The 23522-nt window shown below is 43.4% G+C and overlaps 1 long non-coding RNA gene across 1 annotated transcript in view, besides 1 other annotated feature; it reads right to left on the minus strand.

The window, feature by feature from the left end:
• Window positions 1–1892: 1892 nt before the first annotated feature.
• Window positions 1893–23522, minus strand: part of LINC02026 (long intergenic non-protein coding RNA 2026) — a 46288-nt gene continuing 24658 nt past the window's right edge. Inside the window, exons 2-3 of the long non-coding RNA NR_033944.1 lie at window positions 4250–4482; window positions 1893–3199 (exon numbers count right to left, since the gene is read on the minus strand). This is a non-coding gene — a long non-coding RNA (long intergenic non-protein coding RNA 2026). The remainder of the gene's footprint in view (window positions 3200–4249; window positions 4483–23522) is intronic.
• Window positions 4250–6902: an enhancer, noted in NCBI's record as "VISTA enhancer hs1453". NCBI's record gives its function as "enhancer in: neural tube[3/5] | forebrain[4/5] | limb[4/5]" and the evidence as "EXISTENCE:transgenic organism evidence [ECO:0001131][PMID:17130149]".

Genomic DNA, 23522 nt, shown 5'->3' on the forward strand with positions numbered 1-23522 from the left:
ATACTATCAATCTCTTTGTTGAGTTTCTCATTCAGATCATGAATTGTCTTTTCTTGTAGATGTTTCTATAGTGTCAGTTGAATAGGATGCTTTGGCTTTGGTTCTGAGTGGGTGCAGTAATGTAGCCTTTGTATTTTTTTGGCTGTAATCAACATCAGTGGTGACTTTGAGTGCCTCAGTGGCCTACGCTACAGTTGTTTGTAGAGGCTGTGGCATGGCTTTGACAAGGATAAGAACACTGGGCAGCCCAGTTCCTGGGCCCCTGGGGAGTGCCTGTGGGTGCACAATGGCTCTGCTACTGAAGTGGTTGAGGTTGCTGGCCATGGCATTTGCAAGCCCCAGGTGGGCCAACCCCTGGGAAGCTTGCACAGGTTTGTGGTGGTTCTACTGCTGGAGGGGGCAGGGTCACTGGCAGCTGGCAATGGCAGGCGCCGCGGCGGTTGGCTCTCAGGCTCTGGAGAGTGTGCCCACTGGCTCCCTCTATCCTGGGGGCAGCCTCCTTGCTGTGCTGAACTACCTGTTTCCCAGGATGTAGGACATTGTACGGGCTCGGGTTCAGGGTCGCAGCTGCATTGCTGAATCCAGCTGTCTTTGTGACACTGCAGTCCTCTGGGTGGATGTGGTGGGATGTCAGTGGGGCCCTGGTGTGAATTTCCTTTCCAGAATAATGCAGTCATGTGGACTCCAGGTAGCTGCCTATACTGGGCTCAGGGCCTGTGAGGGCTGAGGGGCTCTCTTGTAGCCAGGATTGCAGGTATCTGTGGTGGGAATGTGGACTTCTGGGGGTCTCCCACTTACCTTTTCCCTGCAATGGGCAGTTCTTCCTGGCTCTGAGCTAATCCTGACTGGCTGCTTCACTTCCCTCTCTATGTTGCCATCCTGAGTTTCCATGCCTTAGAGGGTCATTGTCACTACCTTGTTAAATTTCAATGCTCTCCCTTAGACACTCTATTCGAGGGTACTTCTCTATTTGTTGGTTTGGTCCTTCTTTGTGAAGGAAACAAGTGCTGAGCACCTCTAGTCCACCATCTTGAGGATGCTCAAATTGGGAGCTGGTTTCAACTTAGTTTTAAGGTTTCATAGGTTTAGTTATGTCATCAAATGAATTTTCACACTGTTACCAGGTCTCTGCAGCCAGAGTCACCCAGTGCTCCTTGTGAGTTGCTGCTCCTCCACCATGTGGTACTGTCACTCGCTCCTGGGCTTTTGTTCATGTTGTTGGCTCAGCCTGGAATGCCCACCTCCCATTTCCCTCTTCTATATTTCTAAAATCCACTCTTCTCTTAAAGCTCAGTGCAAATGCTAACTTCTCCATAAGCCTTCTCTGATTCTTTTTCTCCCAATAAAAAATGACCACGTTGCCTCTGAGCCCTGGCAGCACTTCACCTCTTATAACTTTCAGCAGTCTTTGTCTTCGGTCATTTTCTTGCTTCATGTGGCCTCTCCTACTATATGGCTTGAGGCTGGGGGCTGTGTGAGCAGTATTTCAGTACACAGATGAGAAGAGCACCCAGTGGGCAATTATTATTATTATTATTATTATTATTATTATTATTATCATTATTATTATTTTGACGGAGTCCTGCTCTTGTTACCCAGGCTGGAGTGCAATGGCATGATTTCAGCTCACTGCAACCTCCGCCTCCTGGGTTCAAGTGATTCTCTTGCCTCAGCCTCCCAAGTAGCTGAGATTACAGGTGCCCACCACCACGCCCAGCTAATTTTTGTATTTTTAGTAGAGACGGGGTTTCACCATGTGAGCCAGGCTGGTCTCAAACTCCTGACCTCAGGTGATCCACCTGCCTCGGCCTCCCAAAGTGCTGGGATTACAGGTGTGAGCCACCACACCCGGCTGGCAATTACCATTTCCTTAAGAATGAGAACTACTGTAGTTACAGTCCTTATCCAAATTTTATTTGAAAGCAACTTCAGATAGTCTTCATGATGCATAGTACCATGTTCACTGAAACTTGTACATATCAGACCTGTGTTCTCACTTTGCACTTACCAAAGGATTGCACAAAGTGAGTATAGGGTTTCAATATGCAGACATGACACTGTGCAAAGTGAGGATTACTTGTATATCTAAACAATAAATATGAAACAAATGTAATCCATCTAATCACATGAAAAAAATACCAGGAAGTCTCATGCATTGAGGGCAGCCAGTTCTGTATATTAAACACAGAACTCATAGACAGTCTTGTAAATCAAAGCCCTGGCAGAAAATAGCAATGAATGTCCAATCTCAGAGTGGAAAGGGTTTTAGTGATTGAAGAACCATGTGGTTACCATTTCAGAACCATTACATTGGCTTATGCCAGGCTCTTGATAGAGGCTATGTATGGATGGATACAAGAGGTAACGTGAAATATGTAGCTTACATGCTGAAACATGATCATTTCTAGGATATTTTAGTAGCTTCTGAAGACAATGAGGCAGAATATTTAGAATCCGTATGGTCCCAGGAATGCCTTAAAGTCCCCTAAAATCAAATAAACATCAGCATCGCTGGCGTCCTGCTGCTTCCCACAGTGAATGCTGTGACGGGCACAGAAAGACTCACAGAACAATACATTTTAAGCCACTAAAGAGCCATGAAACTGCACAGCAAATCTATTTCAAAAGCTAAAATGCTGAGTTTATATCCTCTACAAAAGAAAGGGACACAGGAAAACAATTAGAAATGATGGAAGATGATGATAAACAGAAGTTTAAACAACTTTACAGGGAGCCAGGCTGCCTGGGAATGCTGAGGATCAGCCAGAGGGCAGAGCACAGGGTGCAGAGTGAGGACCTCCAGGTTTGGGAGTCGGCTGCTGAGCTCCAGGAGGTTCCAGAGACACCGCTGCACTGGGTCTTGGTTCTCAGCACCTTCACCAAGGGTCAAGGTGAAGGCTGAGGCATGTTCAAAGTCCACTAAAGATGAGATAAAATGGAATGAATGTGGGCTTTGGAATCTGCAAACCAACTCAGTCTCTCAGCTGGGGTCTTTGGCAGGTTCATTAACCTCTCTGAGCTCATTCTTGTGTTGTGAGAAGAGCCGTGGCGGGGGGTTAGAAACTTTTCGTGATAGTCCCAGAGCCAGCCTAGCGTTCCAGCAGCCTTGAGCAAATGGCATCCCCTTCTCCTCTTTTTCATTTTTCATCTGTAAAATGGAAATTATAACTCCTTGCCATTTCCAGGGAGGTTGTGTGGACTGAATAAAGACATGTGTGAAAACACGTCAGTAAAACTCTGAACAAGTATAAGGGATTCTTAACACCATTGTCAATGGCTATTTGGGAACCAATTCAACTCTCTACTTTTCTGAATAGAGACAAGCAGTTAGACAACTATGAAAGAAACACAAGACCCTGTTACTGACTGAATTGTGTCCTCCAAAAAGACATCCCCAGTACCTATGAATGTGACCTTACTTGGAAATAGAATCCTGGTAATATAATCAAGTTAACTTAATCAAGTTAAGGATCCCTTCTTATAAGGACATCAGTCATTGAATAACATCTGCCTCGCCCCCACCAATCTTGGACAGCTTCATTTCAATTTAGGATGGACCCTAATCCACTGAGTGATGTTCTTATAAAAAGAGGAAGGTGGGCCGAGCACAGTGGCTCATGCCTGTAATCCCAGCACTTTGGGGGAGGCCAAGGCGGGTGGATCAGCTGATGTCAGGAGTTCAAGACCAGCCTGGCCAATGTGGTGAAACCCCATCTCTACTAAAAATACAAAAATTAGCCAGGGGTGGTGGCGGGTGCCTGTAATCCCAGCTACTCAGGAGGCTGAGGCATGAGAATTGCTTGAACCGGGGAGGCAGAGGTTGCAGTGAGCAAAGATCATGCCACTGCGCTCCAGCCTGGGCGACAAAGCGAGACTCTGTCAAAACAAAACAAAAAGAAAAGAAAAGAAAAAAGAAAAAGGGCATAAGAAGACACAGACACACAGGGAGAATGCCAGGTAAGGACAGAGACAGAGATCGGAGTGATGCGGCTGCAAACCAAGGAAGGCCAGGGACTGACGGCCACCTCCAGAAGCTAGGAAGAGGCAAGGAAGGATTCTGCTCAACCTCAGAGGAAGCGCGGTCCTGCTGACACCTTGATTTCAGACTTCCAGCCTTCAGAACCGAGACAGAATAAATGTCTGCTGTTGAAGCCAGTCTGTGGTATTTTGTTATGGCAGCCCCAGGAAACTAACACAGACCCCCTAATCTCCTCTTCCCTGTTCAGTAGATACATGCTATAACACTTACCCTGGAAGACCTCTCCAAACTCTTATAAGTTCTCCCCATAAAAAGGTTCATACTTCTATGTTTCTAAAGAGCTTTGCCACCATTTTAGCAGCTTCTCCTAAAATCTCTTTAGAGACCTGCTTATAACTCATCCTTGGGGTTGGTGCTCCTGGAACCACTGTAAACAGGAGATCATCTGTCTGGTGCTCCTGGGAGGTGAAGCTTCTTGGACCAGCTGCAGAGCAAGCAGCACTCTGTAGAAAGGGTGTAGAAGGGGCAGGAACTGTGACAGATGAAGGACACCATGATGTACTTTGAAGGGCCTGACATAGACTTGCCACTTCCTCTCTCCTTTTGCCTCCCAGAAAGTGGGTCCATAGAGCCTTCTTCTTGCTCAGGTCACAACACAAACTAAATCTACCTTGCTTGGTGCCTGCACCAAGAGGTCAACCCCCTGAGTCCCTGGAATGAGCACTGGATTATGAGTCTAGAACCCTGTGATCCATTCCTAATTCTGCCACTCACCAGCTCTACCAGATTTTCTTCATCTATAAAATGGGTCTATCACCTCCACCTGGCAGGGAGGTTGTGGACCACAGGTCAGACAGGAACGTAGAAGAGCACTGAAAATGAAAAGTGGTGAAATCATTATCACCATCGTCTTCCACCAGTTGTCAACGCCTGGTTGGGGAGAAACCTCAAAGAGGACCAGGAAAACTGGATCAAAGTGTCCAGCTGGTAGAAGAAGAGTCAGCTGTAGGGCCTGATCCTCTGGCATTGGCTGCCCAGGGAGAGCGCAGTTGAGATGCATTCTCCCGGTGGGTAATAAAATGAGTTTACGTAGGGAGGAAGCAGGATGTATAAAGCCCAGGAGCCCGATCTGTTTCTGAGATCAAACAGAGCAGCATTGTGCCGGGGTGTGGAGCTGATGTCAGCGTCTAGAATGCTGGTTGGAATCACCCTGGTTACGCAGCTGGACCGGAATAAGGCAAGTCTGTATCTGAACTCATTAATTTTTACAACCAACTGAACTGTTCTGCCTTTTTTTGCGGGGGAGGCGGTAGGGGGAGGTGGTGCAGGAGGAGAACAAGGGAAGAAAGGCAAAGGGGAGGAGCTAGTATGTATGGAGCAGGGGGCTTCCCACCAGCAGACACTATCTCATTATTCCCCAGCAAACGCCAGCTTCGAACCCCCAGCCCCTGGGACAGTCAGGCCTAACCGCGGCAGCAGGTCCTGCCAGGGGAAGGAGAGAAACGGGCCAGTAAGACATAAGGATAATTAGAGTGGCACAAGCCGCTCCTAGGCGTTCAGGTTATGTCAATGTTTCCATTATATGCCTCACTTTTCAGGGGTTTATAACGGAGCTATAAAAACTCACGCCAGCTGAGAATTTGGCAGGCCAGGTCACAGCAGCAACGGAGGGACTGTTTTTTTAATTCAATTCAGCTGCTTGTAACTTGGGGTAGGGGAGGACGTGGTACACTTGGATAACTCAAAGGGGCTGGTTTGAAGTATGGGGCACTATTTTGCTGTGTGATCAGCCCTCCTCCTCCTACTGTCATTTCTTTGTGCTACAGGAAAAGGAACCGCATTATATAAATGCATCCCAAACACTTCCCAAGCCAAGAATGTACAGACACTTTCCAAGCGCCAGCCAACTCAGCTTTTCCCCATTCCTAAGAAAGTATACAGGTCAGCCTCCTTCCAGCAAATGTGCAAACCATCTCACCCAAACCTCTACACAAAAAATTAACAAGCTTCTGCAGATGAGCTGTTTGGTGCTCAATCTGTCCTATGATGAGATGATACATAGTAAGAGCTATTCCAGACAGATCCCAGTATTTGGGACAGTCCTTTTGCATTCGTGTAACAGGATTTGGCCTGGTTGATCAGTGTTATCCAAATCTCATCGGATGGGGTTTGTTGGCCTCTCAGGCACAGAGTGAAGACAGCTCTTTCTCTATAATTTAGCCCAGAATCTCCAATTCAGTCAAAGTTCCCAAATCCTGCAGGATCTCTGACAGTCCAGTGCACAGGTCCTTCCACATAGAGCATGGAGGCCTCTTTGATTTTCCTGTCAGAAGTCCTCTCTCTCTCCTCTGCTCTCCTACCTACTCTCTTCCTATTACACGTATCCTTTGACTGCTGTGTTACATTTCAGTGATTTTTGCATGTCTTATGTATTTTACTGTATGGTGAGCCCCTTATGACAGAGTCCTGAGCTTATTAGTCTCTACTTTCTCCAATGTGCCAAATTTAGGTGGACTCTGCTCAGGAAATGTAGGTGGAATTAATTACGAAGTAATTAATGAATGACAATCAGAAGCCAGGTGGCAGACAGCAGAAATAAAAGTAAATGTTGAGCAGACAGGGACTTATCAATTCCTTCTTTCTTAATAGAAAACAGCATATCGAATTAATTTCTTACCTTGCTACTGATAGTAACATTAAAAAATGATAAAATGGGGGGAGGGAATCAAGATCCACAACCAGAGTACAGAAACACGATGCAAGCAATAACATGTATGTTCATATGCTCATAACTACGGTAACATAACAGTTATAAAAAGCAAATAAAAACATGTGTGTACCTCTACACACAACTCTATTAGCAAATACCTACAGGTACAATGAGAGAAGCATATTTTATTGCATGCACTGATTTTCCTCTCCATTATAACTTAGTCCCTAGCCCCTCATGCTTTGAAAGTGCTTTATAAACTATGAATAAGTAACTGCATACATAGAGAGGGATGATGTTGTAGCACTGTAGCACATAGAATATCCAATAAAAATTTGCCTAATGAATGAATGAACAAATGGGTGAACTACTATGGTCATTTAACTGAAATAATACTTCTTCAAATGCTAAAGAAAATATTGTTAGTGATGGTAACTAATTTAAGTTCCATCATAAATACCCAGCTCTGATCCAAAAGTTAGTTAATGATAGGATTTCAGTCTTCCTTAGGGGTTCAGAAGACGGTGGCCAAATGTCACAGTCAACAGGGCAATGGACATACATGTTTGTGTGATTGAAAACTGGTCTTTCCAACAAATTTGCACTGATCTGGACAGTGGAAGGTAGCAGAGCTGGGAGGGTCCAAGTATGATGAAAGGGTAGGTGAAAAAAGATGATCAAAGTCAGAGGCTAGGATTGCTTTTATAAAGGAGCCTGGGATGAATTGCATTTTCTGGAAGATTTCTAGTGTTGCTCTATAATTTCTGTTTAATTGGAATGTGAAGTTCTTCATAAATTAAGGAGTGTAGCTGAAGCTCATGTCTCTAAGTTAGGACACTGAACTAACTTGACTGCCCACCCTGAGATCAATCAATGGCCAAGAGAACTGAGATGACTACGACAATTTAGACCCATTATCATTCATCTTCTGGCACTGAGATAGAAAAAAAAGCCTAGCCCTGAAATCAAAGCATCTCTCTGTACTGCCAAAACAACTCAGGACTCTGTTAGCAGGGAAAAGGGGATGGTTGTTAGGGAAGCATCCGACAGGGTCTGCCCCAGGGCAAAATAAGAAAAACTAGACGCTCTCAAAATGTGGTTCCCATACGAGCAGCATCTGGGAACTTCTTAAAAATGCAAATTCTTGCCCCCTGCCCCGCCCCCCAACACCCAGACCCACTGAATCAGAAACTCTAGGGTTGGGGGCACACAAACTGTGTTTTGATAAGCATCCAGGTGCTTCTGATACTTGCTCAGGTTTCAGAACCTGAGCAAGTCTAAGAAAAGTCTAAGAAAATGCTTAGCAATCATGCCAGATGACTCAGTGACATTACGGAGCATATGCTTCATCAAAGCCCTCTTACGAGAAAGAGAGGGGAGGATGCGGAAGGGAGAGAAAAAGAGAAATTGACCTTTGTTGAATGCCTACCAAAGGGTGGGCAATGTCCTTGGTGCCTTCCCCTATCTCCTTGAAACTAATCCTCATAAACCACATTTTCCCAGACGAGAAAGCTGAGAATCAGAAGTTAAGTGACTGGGTCTGGTAAATGACACAGCTCAAATTCTAAGTTTGGTCTGATTCCAAGCCAGTGCAACTCCAACTGTTATACCTAATAGGGAACAATCCCAGTAAACTTAGATTTGCTCAATTTATAAAAATGCAATTTAGAATAAAATGTATTTTTTTTTTTACTGAGCATTAGAGCCCTTTGCAGTTTTGCTCAGATCTATATCCCATCATTACCTTCACCGTAGCCCATAGCCCACACTCACTCCCACACACACGTCGTGTCACCAGAAGGTCTGCACTCAGTCCCTCCTCCCTGGAATGCCCTCCTTGGTCTATTCTGCCTGTTGAACTTTATTCTTCTATAAATAATTACACAACTAAAATTGGCTCTCCCTGACTATTTATAGTATAGCGCGTGAACCAATTTGCCACTCAACAATTGTCTATGTAATAAATAAAGGCAAGATTGCTTAGCTTGAAGTCTTCCTCTACCAAGAAGCACCTTCAAGTTTTCCTTTCTAACCCAATGGCATTTTGCTTGCATTTCTAATTTCTACATCTGTCCTATGATGGGATGATACATAGGCTGCCATCTCCCAACAAATGTGTAAATTCGCAAAGCCAAGGCTAGGTCTTACTCATCTCTCTAACCTCCACAGCAGCCAGCATAGGGTTTCACATTGAGTAAGTGCTCAAAATTACGTATGTAATTACATAGACAGGACTGAACTATATAACATGAAATGTACACCTCCACTTCAAAGAACAGGAGTTTTCAAGTAGCTGATGAATTCTACCATTTTAAATAAACAGAAGCATATTTCATGCTAACACTGTTGATGAAGGAGCAAGCCTTTCTTTTGGATCATTCCAGTGGATTTTGCATTGCCCTGTGCTTAGCTAATCTAATTCTGAGAATACAGTGTCACTGTTGGATGTTGAAATGGAGCCATTTGGGGAAGCTGAACGGAAAACCTCCCAGTAGGAATTATTGAGGCACCTGTTGAATTACCCATAATAAATGATACCGGCCAACTCACAGCATAATCTCCTCACACACCCTGTACCCTGACCATTCTCTCCCTGCTTGAACTTGTTGGATGACTTTCAAGAGTGTTTGGAAATTAAATATATCCAGTAGCCTCCAAAAAGTATCAAGGGACAACTTTAAAAGTGACATTGAACCATAGATAATGATATTTCTTTATAAAGGTCTTTAAAAGAACACCTTTCTACAATAAATTTTGAGTGTTAGGGGAATGACAGGGTTAGAAGGAAGGATTGGAGAGAAAATATGAAAATGGTTAATAAAATCTGGGACTTTCTAGGCAGACAACACCACAGGTTCAAAGAAAGCTTATAAACATAAATATCAAAGAAGATAGTAATAATGTGTTCAATTACTCTTTCACTCCTTTTCTCTCCTTAGTTATTCTTCAGTATTTCCTGGACTTTCATTTTCAATAACTAACAGTAAGGATTTATCAATTACTTTCCATACCACAGGGCTCAGCCTGAGAGGCAAAAAGAGAAAGAAAGGATGGCTGCCATGTCTTATGTGTTTTTACCTTTTAAGGATGTAGATATGCTTTCATATTCTTGATCTCATTCCATGCAAGGTACTATTCTCATTTTAAAGATGAGTAAATGGGAGGCTGAGTGAGGGCTGAAGCTCATGTCTTCTGACTCCAAGTCCTGTGCTGCTGCAAAGACTCAGATGGTTTTTAATAAATTTATAGCATAAAATATATGCTCTCACAATATAAAAAGCCTTAAAGGATGTGTTTTATAGACCTCTGGGTAACAAGGCATTGCATTTAAGTGTTTAACTTCCTCTACACCAACAGCCCCTCTGAAACAACCCAGAGAAGCATAAAAAAGGAAAAGCTTTGGTGAAAGGGGAGAAAAAGTACTACAGCAATGTTGGGAACAAGGCAAGTGCACCTTCCACATGGTAGAAATTGGCACCATCCTTTTCAATATGGCTTAGATGGGACCAGAGGACGGGAGACACTGTGGACAGTCTTGCAGCTCTTCTTCCTCAAAAACAGCAGTGGTTATAGGAAGTAAAGGGCAGAAGGACCTTGAGATCCCCACCAAACATGACTGCCCCACTTCAGTTTTGGAGGGCTGAGGGAGTGTCGTGTGCAGGTTAGGTAAGAAGACCAGGACTTGCTTCAGCTGTAGATGAGGAGCATTTGAAAGCAGTAGCAGTAGGAGACCCCGGCATAAGCACAATGGCTCCATTACACGGATATTATACAAGGGAGCCAACTTCACCTTGTGGACAACAACTCAAGGAAGGAGATAGAAGAAAACACAGCTTCATCCTAGTGTTAAGTCAGGCAGAAAGAAAATGAAATGCAGAAAGTCAGCACAGGACCCAGCAGCTGCATCACTGGTAGAGAAGGGTGCAGACAAGGAGCCCCAGTCCTCTCCCTAAGCCTGTGGTAATTCCAGCTCCCTCCTTCTGCCTCTGTCCCCTATTGTCTGCCCTTGATCCCAGCTTCTTCTCTACTCCCCTCCATCTGTTGCACGTCTTAAGCAGTCACATAAATTTACTTCCATCAAAAAAAATGTACTCGCATTGTTTATGAACAAACAGCAGAACTAGACATACTTTTTTCTCGTTTCTTATAAGTAAAAGAGAACCAACATGGGGATTATATAAGACAGAAAAACTAGGCTCAAAATACAGAAAAACACAGTATCTGGCTGGGCGCGGTGGCTTATGCCTGTAATCTCAGCACTTTGGGAGGCTGAGGTGGGAGGATCAGTTGAGGTCAGAAGTTTGAGACCAGCCTGGCCAACATGGTGAAATACCATCTCTACCAAAAGTACAAATATTAGCCAGCCATGGTGGCACACACCTATAATCCCAGCTACTTGGAAGGCTGAGACAGGAGAATCGCTTGAACCCAGGAGGCGGAGGTTGCAGCAAGCCAAGATGGCACCACTGCACTCCAGCCTGGGGAGCAGAGTGAGACTCCATCTAAAAAAAAAAAGAAAGAAAAGGAAAAAAAAAGAAAAAGAAAAAGAAAGTATCTTTCTAAAAAGCAAACATGAATTACAAAATTTAGGAAACTCAGATTTAGGTTCCATAAAAATTCCAATAAAAGATAAATCAAATGATGAAAAATGAGAGATAAAAGCAGCAATGAGCAGGGCACTGGCTCAGCAGAGGCGAAAAATCACAAAATCACAAAAGTTAAGGAAACTAAAACAGAAATAGTAAATTACAATTTTCACTCAAAGCGAGAAAGAGTAGAACAGGCACTGAGACAAGACAAAATTGTCAATGCAGGAGAGAAACCTGAAAAACTGCCATGGAATAAGGAGGAAAAAGGCAAAGTGATATAAAAAATGAGAGAAAAGTTGTTGCGTTTGAAGAAGAGATAATATAGAAATCACAAAGAAGAGATGTTCCTGGGGCGCGGGGAAGAGCAGAATAAATAAAACAAACAAAATAAAATATAAAAGAAGAAAACTTTCCTGAGCTGATGTTTTCATTAAGACCAGGGTCAGCTATCCGTGACAGCTGTGAAACTAAACCATAAGGAAGGCGAAATATTTTTTATTCCATGCAGCTATGTGTCCATAGGCATATCAGGAATTATGTTTCTAAGAAGAAAACTATGGATTTGGAGGAACCACTACCAACGTCTGCCATAATTGAATAAAAATGTACATTTACACATCAAAAGATCTCACGAAGTACCTGGCAAAATTACCTTAAAGACTTCAACTAGCAGATGAACTCAAGTTCAAGAACAATAAGAGCATTTTACAATTACCTAGACAGGAAACAAGTTAGCTTACCTACAAAGATAGAAATATAGACTAGCATCAGATAGCTCTATAACATTAAACATCAGATGAAAATGGAGAAATGTTTATAGTTTTGAGTGCAAAAAATTGCCTGCTAGTCAAGAATTCTAAACTCATTTAAGTTGTCATTCATGTCTGAAAAAAATTTCTTATATTTCTTTACATTTTCTTACAAAAATTTTCAATTATTCAGATTCCTAAGCCATATCACTGACATTACTTTTGAAAAAACTACTTAAATCATACTCCAGCCAACTAGAAATTATTCAAAACGAAAAATGGAGAAGTTCTAATGAAATGGAACTCATGGTTGTTACTTTATTTTTATTTTATTTTATTTATTTATTTTTTTGGAGACAGGGTCTCACTCTGTTGCTCAGGCTGGAGTGCAGTGGTGCAATCTTGGCTCACTGCAGCCTCTGTGTCCTGGGCTCAAGGGATCCTCCCACCTCAGCCTCCTGAGTACCTGGGACCACAGGCACATGCCACCATGCTCAGTTAAAAAAAAAAAATGTAGAGATGGGGGTCTCACTACATTGCCCATGCTGGTCTTGAACTCCTGGGTTCAAGTGATTCTCTTGCCTTGGCCTCCCAAAGTGCTGAGATTACAGGCATGAGCTAGCATGCCCAGCTGTCATAGTGGTTGCTAAAAATCAATTAAACATCCTCTAAAGTATGGTTGTAAAAGACATTTTAAATACAAAACAGTAATTCTTGAAAGAGAAAATAATTTTTAAAATAATAACTGGCACACCTTTGTCAAAATTCAATGAATGCACACTTAAAATTTGTGTATTTCATTGTTTGTAAATTTTGCCTCAAAGAAAAATACTGCAAGCAATTATTAAACTCTAGTTAATGATATTTATGCAGAAGTATTCAAGAAGTATATTGATGTCTTTGTCTGTTTTACATTGCTATAAATGAATAGCTGAGACTGAGTAGTTTATAAAGAAAAAAGGTTTATTTAGCTCAGAGTTCAGCTGGATGAGGGACTGGGCATCTGGTGAAAGCCTCAGGCTGCTTCCATTCATAGTGAAAGCAAAGGGAAGCCAGCGTGTTCAGAGACCACATGGTGAAGGATGGAGCAAGAGAGAGGAGGAGGGGAGCTGCCAGGCTCTATTTAACAACCAGCTCTCTAAGGAACTAATAGAGCAGGAACTCACTCATTCCTTCCCATACCAGGGACAGCATTCATCTATTCCTTAGGGATCCACCCCAACAACCTGAAGGCCTCCCACTAGGCCCACCTCACCTCCCACTAGGCCCCACCTCACCTCCCACTAGGCCCTACCTCCAATATTGAGGATCAAATTTCAACATGCGATTTGGAAGAATCAAACATCAAACTACAGCAATTGATATTTTCAATTTACTTTGAAATGCATTTGTTTTAAACACGGGTTGATAGATGGACAGAACATGATACAGCAAGTATAGGAAAATGGCGATGGTAGACACGTGGGTGTTTACTGTAGAATTCTTTCAACTTTTCTGTATGTTTGAAAATGTTTATAAAACAGTACGTTGGAAATAAAGATAACCCCTGAGTCTAAAGTCCAAAATTAAATACATAAAATAAGAAACTGAGTGAACTTAGGAAGGAGGGGAAAATAAAAGGTTATTTCTTCACCTTGCATAAGAAACAATCAATAGGTAGCATTTTTAAAAATCAAAAATTGGGAAAATATAGATTCGTGTATTTTTAAAATTTTCAGGGCAATCCCAATAGAATTTTAAAATAGGACCTATACCTTCCATATCACTAGTGGAAAAATAGAAAATACAAACAACATAACACAAACAATTTTAAGCAGAGAGCAAGAAAATATTTTTAAAATCCAGAAAGCATAAGCAACTGGACTAAAGTTAAAACAAAAATGGTAACTGTGATAACAAATGTAAGTGGCTTTAGCTCCCATATTTGAAAAACTAAACTTATCAATATGCTATCATCCCAAGATATATACCTCAAATAAAGAAAAGCATTAGAATAAGAAAGGATAAGCTAGCAAATACATCACATGCACAAAGACTCAATTTGTAAAGAAAACAGGGTCACAATATTTTGTATCAAAGTAGAATTTAAAACGGAAAACTTACATGACATTTAGATAAATATTGAAAAAGTGAATAGCATGTAAATAACTGTCATGATGCTTTAATTGCCACATAATGTAGAATAAAAACAAATAAAGCAAGAATTCGTGGAAATTCAGAAAGAAATGGATAGAAATGACTTAGTAATGGCCGACTTTAAAGTCACCATCTTTGACAGCTCGGAAAGGTAATACACATACGATAATATAATAATAAGTTAAGAAGCACCCCAGGCATGTTTCAATCAGTGCAAGTTGATCAGGACAATACCTTTGCTCACACAAGAGGCTGCACTTTTTCTTAATGAAAACGGACATATGTGACCTTCTTTGGCATGCACCTACCATGGATTTACACTCGGCTTATGCTGTCTACACACCCCATTTGCACGTGTGCTGCCAACAGACCATTCTCTCCTACACATGAGATTTAACCAGACCCAAAAGCTATAAAACCTAGAGACGTTTCATTGTTGATTTGGAAGAAGAAACGGTATGGGCTGTAAGAACTGGAAAAGATTTCTTCTGACTATTAAACTCTGAGCTATTTCAAAGCAATAGATTCTAGCTATAGAGTGTTTAATAAAATGAGGAGGTTTGGGATCTTCCAAGCTATGTTTCATTTCCTAACCCTAGACCATGCTTCTGCAACTGGAACTAGAGATCAATGGGAAGAGCAACAAGGGTAAGGGAGAGTTGATGGATGTGCCTGAGGACGTTTTAGGTTTGTAGTAATGACAACATAGTCCACTGGGGGAGCTCTGCGGGCTGTTGAACATGTAGAATAGGACCTAGTTGGAAATGTGGATTGGAGAGCGAGCATCAAAAAAGTGAGTTAAGGGGGGAGGGGGGGAGGGATAGCATTAGGAGATATACCTAATGTAAATGACGAGTTAATGGGTGCAGCACACCAACATGGCACATGTATACATATGTAACACACCTGCACGTTGTGCACATGTACCCTAGAACTTAAAGTATAATAAAAATAAATAAATAAATAAATAAATAAATAAATAAATAAATAAATAAAAGTGAGTTAAAGCCCCACAATTCAAGTTACTTCGAGGATATAGGATTAACAAAGCCTGCTCAAGCCAAATGATGGGGACACGGCAGGCCAAACAGGGAAGTCTGTGTGTGATGTGATAGGCAATATAAAGCCAGCAAAGGTCTGGGATCAGGGAGGTCATTGTAATTGTCAGGAAATTCATATCAGATTAAGGCCAGTTTTGCCTCCCCACGTCTGTCAGCTGACATGTCTTCTGCCCTGTGAGGAATGCAGAATGCATCTGCTCCCCCTTCCACATGGCAATAGAGAAAAAAGCAGGACTAACACTTTGCCTTTGTGCATTTCACAGGAATAGCAGGAAAAGCCTTTTGAGAAGGCTCAACACTCACAGAGAAAACCACATTAATCATCAGCCTAGGAAACTGGAACACTCCACAAAACCATTGCTATAGATTCAATATTTACACAAAATCTGGAGGTTGAAGTTCTTCCTTTCCTTGCCACAGAAAGGAAACCATGAAAAGCTGCCAGAAAGAGAATCTCAGTTCCTATTTACACTCGCCAAATTCATAAAGCGCAACATTCTCATCTTATAGATAAGGAAAACTGAGTCGCAAAAAAGACAAAGTGTCTTGATCAATAACGTGTTCATACCCTTTACCTGACCATGCACATTTTGAGGTGCGGAAACTGCAGCCCCAAGCGTACAATGCCCTGCCCGACATCACACAGAGAGTGAACACCCAAGCAAACAGTCATCCCCGTTTGCCCCACTGCTCTACCCCATGTACCAACCAAAGCAGGCTAAGCAGAGAGAAAAGGAGGAAGGTAGCTGTGCTGTGTCTGAAGAAGCAAACCAAAATAAGTCTCATTCAATCCGGTCTTTGGGACGGGTAAAACCCCTAGTAATAGAGGAACCTGCAGACACGTAGTTGGGTTTTGGTGGAAATCATTGGGACCTTCTCTGCTATGTTTCTCGAAACAGTGTCTTTCAGCTTTCTGCAAGGGAGTTTCCCAGAGGTCTTATTACAAGTATGGTTTGGCTGGAGCCCAGCCCAGACTTCCTGGGTCAGAATCTCAGGGTGGGGCCCTGGAATCTAAATTTCTAACAAGCTTCCCCAGTGGATTTTATACACACTGAAGTACAAGAGCCACTGTGGCTCACATTCTTGACCAGACAGTATGAAAAGACTAAGTTCAGATCTCATCCCCAAGATGGGGGTCAGACCAGACAGGGGTCACCGTCCCGCCTTTAGCACCCGGGCCCCACGTGCCCTTTCAGCCCCTGCTCGTTGCTCAGCACAGCCCAGCCCAGAATTACTCCTCCTAAAAGACATCTCTCTGCCATTTTAATTTCCAAAACCTGTCATAAAAGCAGCTCTTCTCTTCTGATGAGGTAATTGGTGCCATAATACCATTAGGAGGGTGCCCCTGGTGCACAGCTCAATTAGGAAAGGTGTATTAAATGATTTACATTTCTTTCTTTAGCTGAAACACTAGTTATAGACTTGCTAAGTAATAGGATGTTGTTAATGAGCCATAGCATGGGGCTCATTTAATTCAATACTGTAGCTTTCTAGCTAATTGAGGCATTGTTCTTCTTTACCCCACAGTCCAATTTTTCTTCTCCCAAAGCCAGGGGAAGAAAAAGAAAGGAAAAAAAGAAAAAAGAAAACCATTCGAGGGTCAGACAGCAAAAGTAAGAACCTCCATAGAGTCTGATTCCCAGCCAGTTTATGACAGCCCAGCCTTCCAGGGGATAAGATTCCCTATGTTAAGAGCTGACTGCAGGTTCATTCTAGGCTGAGGCTGAACCTAGAGGCCTGAAGAGCCCCAGGCTGAAGAACCTGGTTACAGTGTCCCCATCCTGTGAGTTCTCCACTCTACAGGAGCTCAGGGGAGGCCTGACTTGGGATCATCTAGCCTTGGTAATAAAAGTGTGGTCCATGAGCGAGCATCACGTGGGGGCTCGCTGGAAATGCAGAACTCATGTCCCACCCAAACCTACTCAGCCAGAATCCACATTTAACAAGATGCTCAAGTGATTCTCATGCGCTGCAAATTTTACGAAGCACTGGTCGAGATCCTTTCAGATTGAGCCACAACCTCCCAGGCCTCCCTCAGGGAGTGTTCCCTACTAGAAGGTAGCCTATTCCCACCCCACAGAAACATTGCTCTTTTTTAAAATATGGGACTATTCTCATGGAGGAAAAAAAAAACTTTTTTAATGAAAACAGAGAGACAGAAAGAAACCCAGAGAGAAACAGTAAAGGCCAGAAAAGGGTTGCTGAACTTGAGAAGTTCAAAAGCCCATATTTCATTTTGCTCACAAAACCACAGACCTCTCCTGCAACACACCCAAAGACTGCAGCTTTGCCTCTGCCAAGCCGCAACTGAATGGAAAGCCAGGAGAAAACACTCTTTCTAACACAGGAGAGCCAGGAACTCCAGTGCAGAGACCAACCTTCCAACCTCAGGGACTCACAGTGTGTGGAAGCAGCCAGAGGCCTTAGAAGTTATGTCTCACTCCCTTCATCCTACAGAACAAGAAACTGAGTCGTGCAGGGCAAGTGACTTGTTCAAGCAACCCAGTCCCGTTAGTGGCAGTGCTGGCTGGGATTGGGCCCAGATCTCCTGTCTCCCGTTCTCTTGCCCTCACACCACGAGACCTCAGAGAATCTATACAAGGATTCTCTTAAGATCAATATGCAAAAGCCGTTTCACTAATTTGCACAATATGAAACTATATTCTTCTAGAGCAAGTGTGACATTACTCAGTTGCAAACACTGCTGTGGACAGGTAATGTCAAGGAACAGGTTTGACTGCTGGTCTCCAGACTACAAATTAGCTGGAATAATGGGCAGAAAGTGATAAATAACCTGAGCTTCTCTCAAAAACTTGAACTGAACTCAACACTGCAGATGCTTTATCTGTCTTATTCCCCACTTTTTATTCTCTTTTCTTAACTGGCTGCTTCGTTCCTTCCATCTTTTACACCCGTACATTATCTGTGTGAGAAGACAAGCACCACCAACTCAACGGAGTCTCTCCACAACTGACTATGAATGGTTTGGCTGAATGCCCAAAGTCACCATTTATTTTTTCTTCAAATAGACAGCCAAACTTGAGAACCAAGTCAAAATAACATAAATGCCCCTCAAAACCAAAAGTCTCAACCAGCAACCCATCACCTAGCAGACCACAAGAAACTCAGATCCAAAATGACCAAGTATCCCCAGTGGGAGAATCCACAAAAGAAAACCCACTGTAAGGATGGTACTTCACAAAATCCAGGTGGATAAACCTCAATTCTCAAAACCCCCTTTTTCTGCTACCTCCTGAAGCCAAACCACCTTCCCATCTCAATGCCCTCTGCAGCCACCATCACCGGAAGTGTCAAACATCAGCCTCACGCTTATTCTGCCCATGAACGTGAGGTTTCTACATCCAGGACTTCTGGAATCACCCCTTTTTGTGGTATTTCTTTGGGTCCTGAGCACCCTGCCATTTTTCTAAACTGAAGAAAAGGGGGAAAAAAGAGGAGAAGCAAACGAAACTTCCCTGCAGTGATGTGAGTGACTGCTGTGTTTCCATGGTTTGCTCTCCACTGTTCTCGGTGACCCCTGCGGATTTCCCTTATGAGTTAGTGTCCCGGAATGTCTCTTTATTAGGTGTCTGGAGAAGTAAAGCTGTCCTGATGCCAGCGCCCCCACACTGAGGACTTTATTAGTTTTTTAATTTTCTGTCTGGGTGCTCCTGCTGCATCAAACTTTCCACAGCTGTTAGGAGCTATTAAGTCCGTAGCCTCATTGGGCCCTTTCCCCACCCCTACCCTGCTGAAGAACATGGGAAATTTCTGGACATGCTACGTGGAGCCTTTAAAATATGAATACTTTGTCTCTCTGGTGAGAAAGCACTGGGGTCCAGATGGGGAGAAGATGTTCTGCCATAAGAAAATCTCCTGGTCTGGTCCGTGCCTTGGCTTAGCACAGGGCTGTTCAGGCAGTGTGAGGACCCGACAGGAGGGAGGGGCAGGCAGAAGGGAGAACCCACTTTTTTATCCATTCTGCCCAGCAAGTAGGGGACCGGGGTTGTCCGGGCGTCGGGGGAGCGGGGAGCTCAGACTGTTTTTAGACTGACTTGGAATCCGGCCCAGAGCTTGATGCCCGGTTCAAAGCATTCCCTCCTGAGTGGACATTACAAGACCTGCAGCGAAGAATAAAACAGAAAGACTTGCAAACATTTGCCTTGTAGGCGCACAGCTGTGGTTTTGTACAACAGGCCAGTGCTATTGCTCCTGTCTCCCCTGAGAGGGGAACACGAATACCTATCCACTCCCAAAGCCCCTCCCTGCCAGCATCCCTGAGATGCCCAGGCAGCCCAGATGAGGCCCAGCCGTCCATGAGACTCCCAGTGTGTAAACCCAAAAGCAGGTGTGCACGTGCGTGCATACACACACACACACACACCCAGCAACCTGGCTCTTTCCCATAGCACCCATGCATCTGGAAGGCAACACAACCACTCGGCCAACTCGGGGAGGATGGAGTAAGGGCCTTGAGGGTCCAGAGAATTCTCAGCCTCGTTCTGGCTCCAGCCTGCCCGGCAATTTGCTTTCCAGCGGCTGCCTTTAAGCCTCCCTTTGAGGAGACTTATTTGCAGGGTGAATGAGAAAGCCTAGAGAGAAGAAAAACCTTTGGAGATACCCGCCTGGGGAACAATTTTGCCTCTGAGAGCAAGTTGGTATTTGGGGTTAATCCCTCTGTGGAAACATTGGGTTGAAAGCCCGGAGGAGGTCAGGGGTCTGATTACGGCTTCTGTTTACATATAAACTTCCTGGTCCTAGGAGACAATCGGAGGGGTGGGGGAAGGGAGCAGGGAAACAAGGAAAGTAAAGGAGAATTTTTTTAATTAAATGGCCTTCCCTCTTAAAAATAAAGTCAACAAAATAAGGAGGAGCTTGTGGAATCAGGGTTTGATTTGAATGTCTATGTACAAATATTTCTTTTACATTTTTAAGTCATGATTTACATAATGGAGTTGAAGCATCTTTTGAAACAAAACTTGAAATACTGATATTCGTTGATGTGCATAGGTATATTTTTTTAAAAAAAGAAACAGTAGGAAAGAAACTTTAGTCAGTTATCTTCTGAGAACCAGAGGGACGCATAGATAATGAAACTAGCCAATGTGCTCAGTTGTCTTGGATTTGTTGAGCTTGGGTTCTGGTCTGATTCTTATTTAGTTTGGTCAGAGAAAAATCATCGTGAAGACTCTACAACAGGTGAATGAGCTGAAAATTATAGTTTGAAGGACAATTTGAAACTACCATAAACACATACATATAAGAAACGCCTAAATGACAGTATTAAAGCCAAACAAACCCATACTTTCAAAAGAATCAAGAGGAAAAAATACTTCTTCCACATCCTCTAAAGAAGGCAAAGCAAAGCTATACAGCTGAGGAGGGGTGGAAAAAAGTACAAAATGGTTCTTAAAAGGGACAGTTACTTTTTAAGATTTAGAGCTTGAGTAATTTTTTAGTAGATTAAATTTAAAAGACAAAATAGTTTCTTTTTTGTTTGTTTGGAGAGAAAGAGGGAGTTAGGAGTCTGTCCTGGACATACTTAAGAACATTAAACAAAATATCCGTGAAGAAAATGTGGCAACTCTATTGCCGGGGACATTTAAAACCAGGTAAGACTTGGGTGTGTAGGATTTACATCCAAAACAGTCTATAATAAAAAAGAGATCCTAAATACTTGATACTAGTTTCCTTTTGTGTTTTTCACTGGTGATTTTTTGAGGCTTTTGCAAATATTGAAGATAATTCTCACCATTTACTCGTGTCAAATAAAAAGAAAAGCATTTCTTCAATGAATCTTCTTTCTACTTTGAGTTTCCAACTGAAGAATTTTGGAAAGCCAACCACGGACATTTTGAAAGTTAATTTACCAACAGAAGTACTTTTAAAAAAGTGAACAATAGTTGAAGTCAAATTCAATAGGCTATTACTTACCCCTTTGAAATTTTTTTTAAATTTGTAATTCTCTTATTTTTCTCAGTGGATTCTGTGATCTCCCTAATTTACCATCTATTGGTTTCTTGCCTGCTTGGCCCTTTTCTTTTCTTTTCTTTTCTTTTTTTTTTTTTTTTTTGAGACGGAGTTTAACTCTTGTTGCCTAGGCTGGAGTGCAATGGCTGATCTTGGCTCACTGCAACCTCTGCCTCCCGGGTTCAAGCAATTCTCCTGCCTCAGCCTCCCGAGTAGCTGGGATTACAGGTGCCCACCACCATGCCCAGTTAATTTTTGTATTTTTAGTAGAGACAGGGTTTCACCATGTTGGTCAGGCTGGTCTCAAACTCCTGACCTCAGGTGATCCACCTGCCTCAGCCTCCCAAAGTTCTGGGATTACAGGTGTGAGCCACCACACCCAGCTGGCCTTTTTCCTCTTTTATTTCTCTCATCCCCTAAATCAGGATGGTTTCCTGATATTTTCCAACACAAATTCCTTCGGAGCATCTGACAGCAGGAAGGTGGCTGTTTCGGTAGCAGGAATAAAAAGAGACAAGAGAACAAGGAGAAAGAATGATGCAGGCAAACAATTCGGCAACAGGCCTCCAAAAGTTCACACACTGAGGAGGCCCAGAAAAGCTGTGACTTGAGGCATTGTGAAGAGACACCTACCGCAAAAGGTTTGTGGGTCTTAGGGGCACCGATTTCCTGCCAACCCCTTGCAGAATTATTTTTGAAAAGGTGAGGCATTTTGCCAGGCTGAATATGGTGGCTGAATAAAGGGGAAAGAATCTGGGACCCAGTGACAAATATCAGAGGTTGTCAGGGAGCAAGTGGTGAGTTAAAGGATGACATCAGACTATGTTATGGGCAGGGGCAGAGTCTAACAATGAGCTGCTCTTTGGGCTTCAAAATGCCAAGTGGCGGGACCCTAGGTCTGCGGTGACTATGGCCAGGATCATAGAATTGATGCCCCAAACCAGGACCCTTTGGAGAGAAAAAAGAGGGAGTTTATTATAATTATACTGGGGCAACCTGTGTGAGCTCGGACTGCCCTAGGCAAATCCAGACATTGCTGATCCTTATCCCGAACCACCCGCCTACCCCTAAAGTCTAGGAGACCAAGCTTGGCTGCCCTTCAGCATCTCCTCCAGGCGAGGCTGGGCCCTTAGCTGTGCTTCCTCTTCCCCAGGGGAGGAGCCTCTACCAAGGCCAGAAGTGGAGGAAGTTCCGTGGTCAAATGGGTGTGGGAAATGGACTATTCACCCTCTTACCCCTTCTTGCAGATTCACAATATATATTGTGAATTAAAGATGTTGAGAAGACCTGCAGTAAATTAAACTGCTGAGCATTGTGGAGCCTCTGGTTTCCCCAAAGGTGCTGGAGCACGAGGAGATCTTTTTCTACTGAACGTCTAGGACATGCAGGCAAAAACTGCTTTAAACCTTTGGAGGCAAAGTCCAGAGGCAGGTCTTGGTCTCTCGGAGGTAGAAGCCTGCAGAGTACACGGGAGCTTCTAGCACCCCTCAGGATGGCACCAGCAGATGTTCGGCTGGGTGAGGTAATATAGGAACCTACCAAGGTACAGCCAAAAAACCTGCAGAAACATGTCCGAAGCCATCCCACGCCATGAACAGGAAGCCTTTGTGTTCACATTAACACAGGCAGGCCTCCCTAGCCCCACTGATCCATCCCATCACACAAGGATGGCAATAAGGACCGCATTTGACATCCAGAAATGGTAAGCCTGACCCGAACTCAGCTGAGACACAGAGAACCTGTTTCCCTCTAAGCATTTCATCCACCGGTGACCTGAGGCCATACTTCATATATCCTGCCATTTCTCTGGCATGTGTGTACCGAAGGGAATGCTCCAGACCATCTGGGCGATAAAATTGCAGTCAAGGCCTCTCTAAACAACATGAGTTCTGATAAGGGTGGTGATGAGTGACCACAAAGACCAGGAGTCAAGGCAGAGGTTGTCTGGGCTCCAGGTGAAGCTCCACGTCACAGGCTGTGGCAGGGCAGTACCGACATGCACTCTATGAGACAGATGCAGCTGGTTTCATAGACACAGTTCTCAACCGGATTATTGCAAAATTGTCTGAGTGCATTTCCTTGTGACTGGCCTATTGCTGTTTCTGTTTGTTCTCCAAGTTGCAGCCTGAAGGATTTTTCCAAAACACAAACTTATGCAGGTCTTTCAGAGCATCGCACAATGAGATGATGAATCCATCAGTGGGCAGGGAAGCCCTACAGAAAGGTCATGGTGAAGTGAGGGGTTTGCAGAGATCACTGATTTTCATCAACAAGGTCCACACTTCTGCACATGATGCCCAAGGCTCCTTATGACAGAGGCGACTTCCC

This window comes from Homo sapiens, chromosome 3, assembly GCF_000001405.40.
Source record: "Homo sapiens chromosome 3, GRCh38.p14 Primary Assembly".
Classification (NCBI taxonomy): Eukaryota; Metazoa; Chordata; class Mammalia; order Primates; family Hominidae; genus Homo; species Homo sapiens.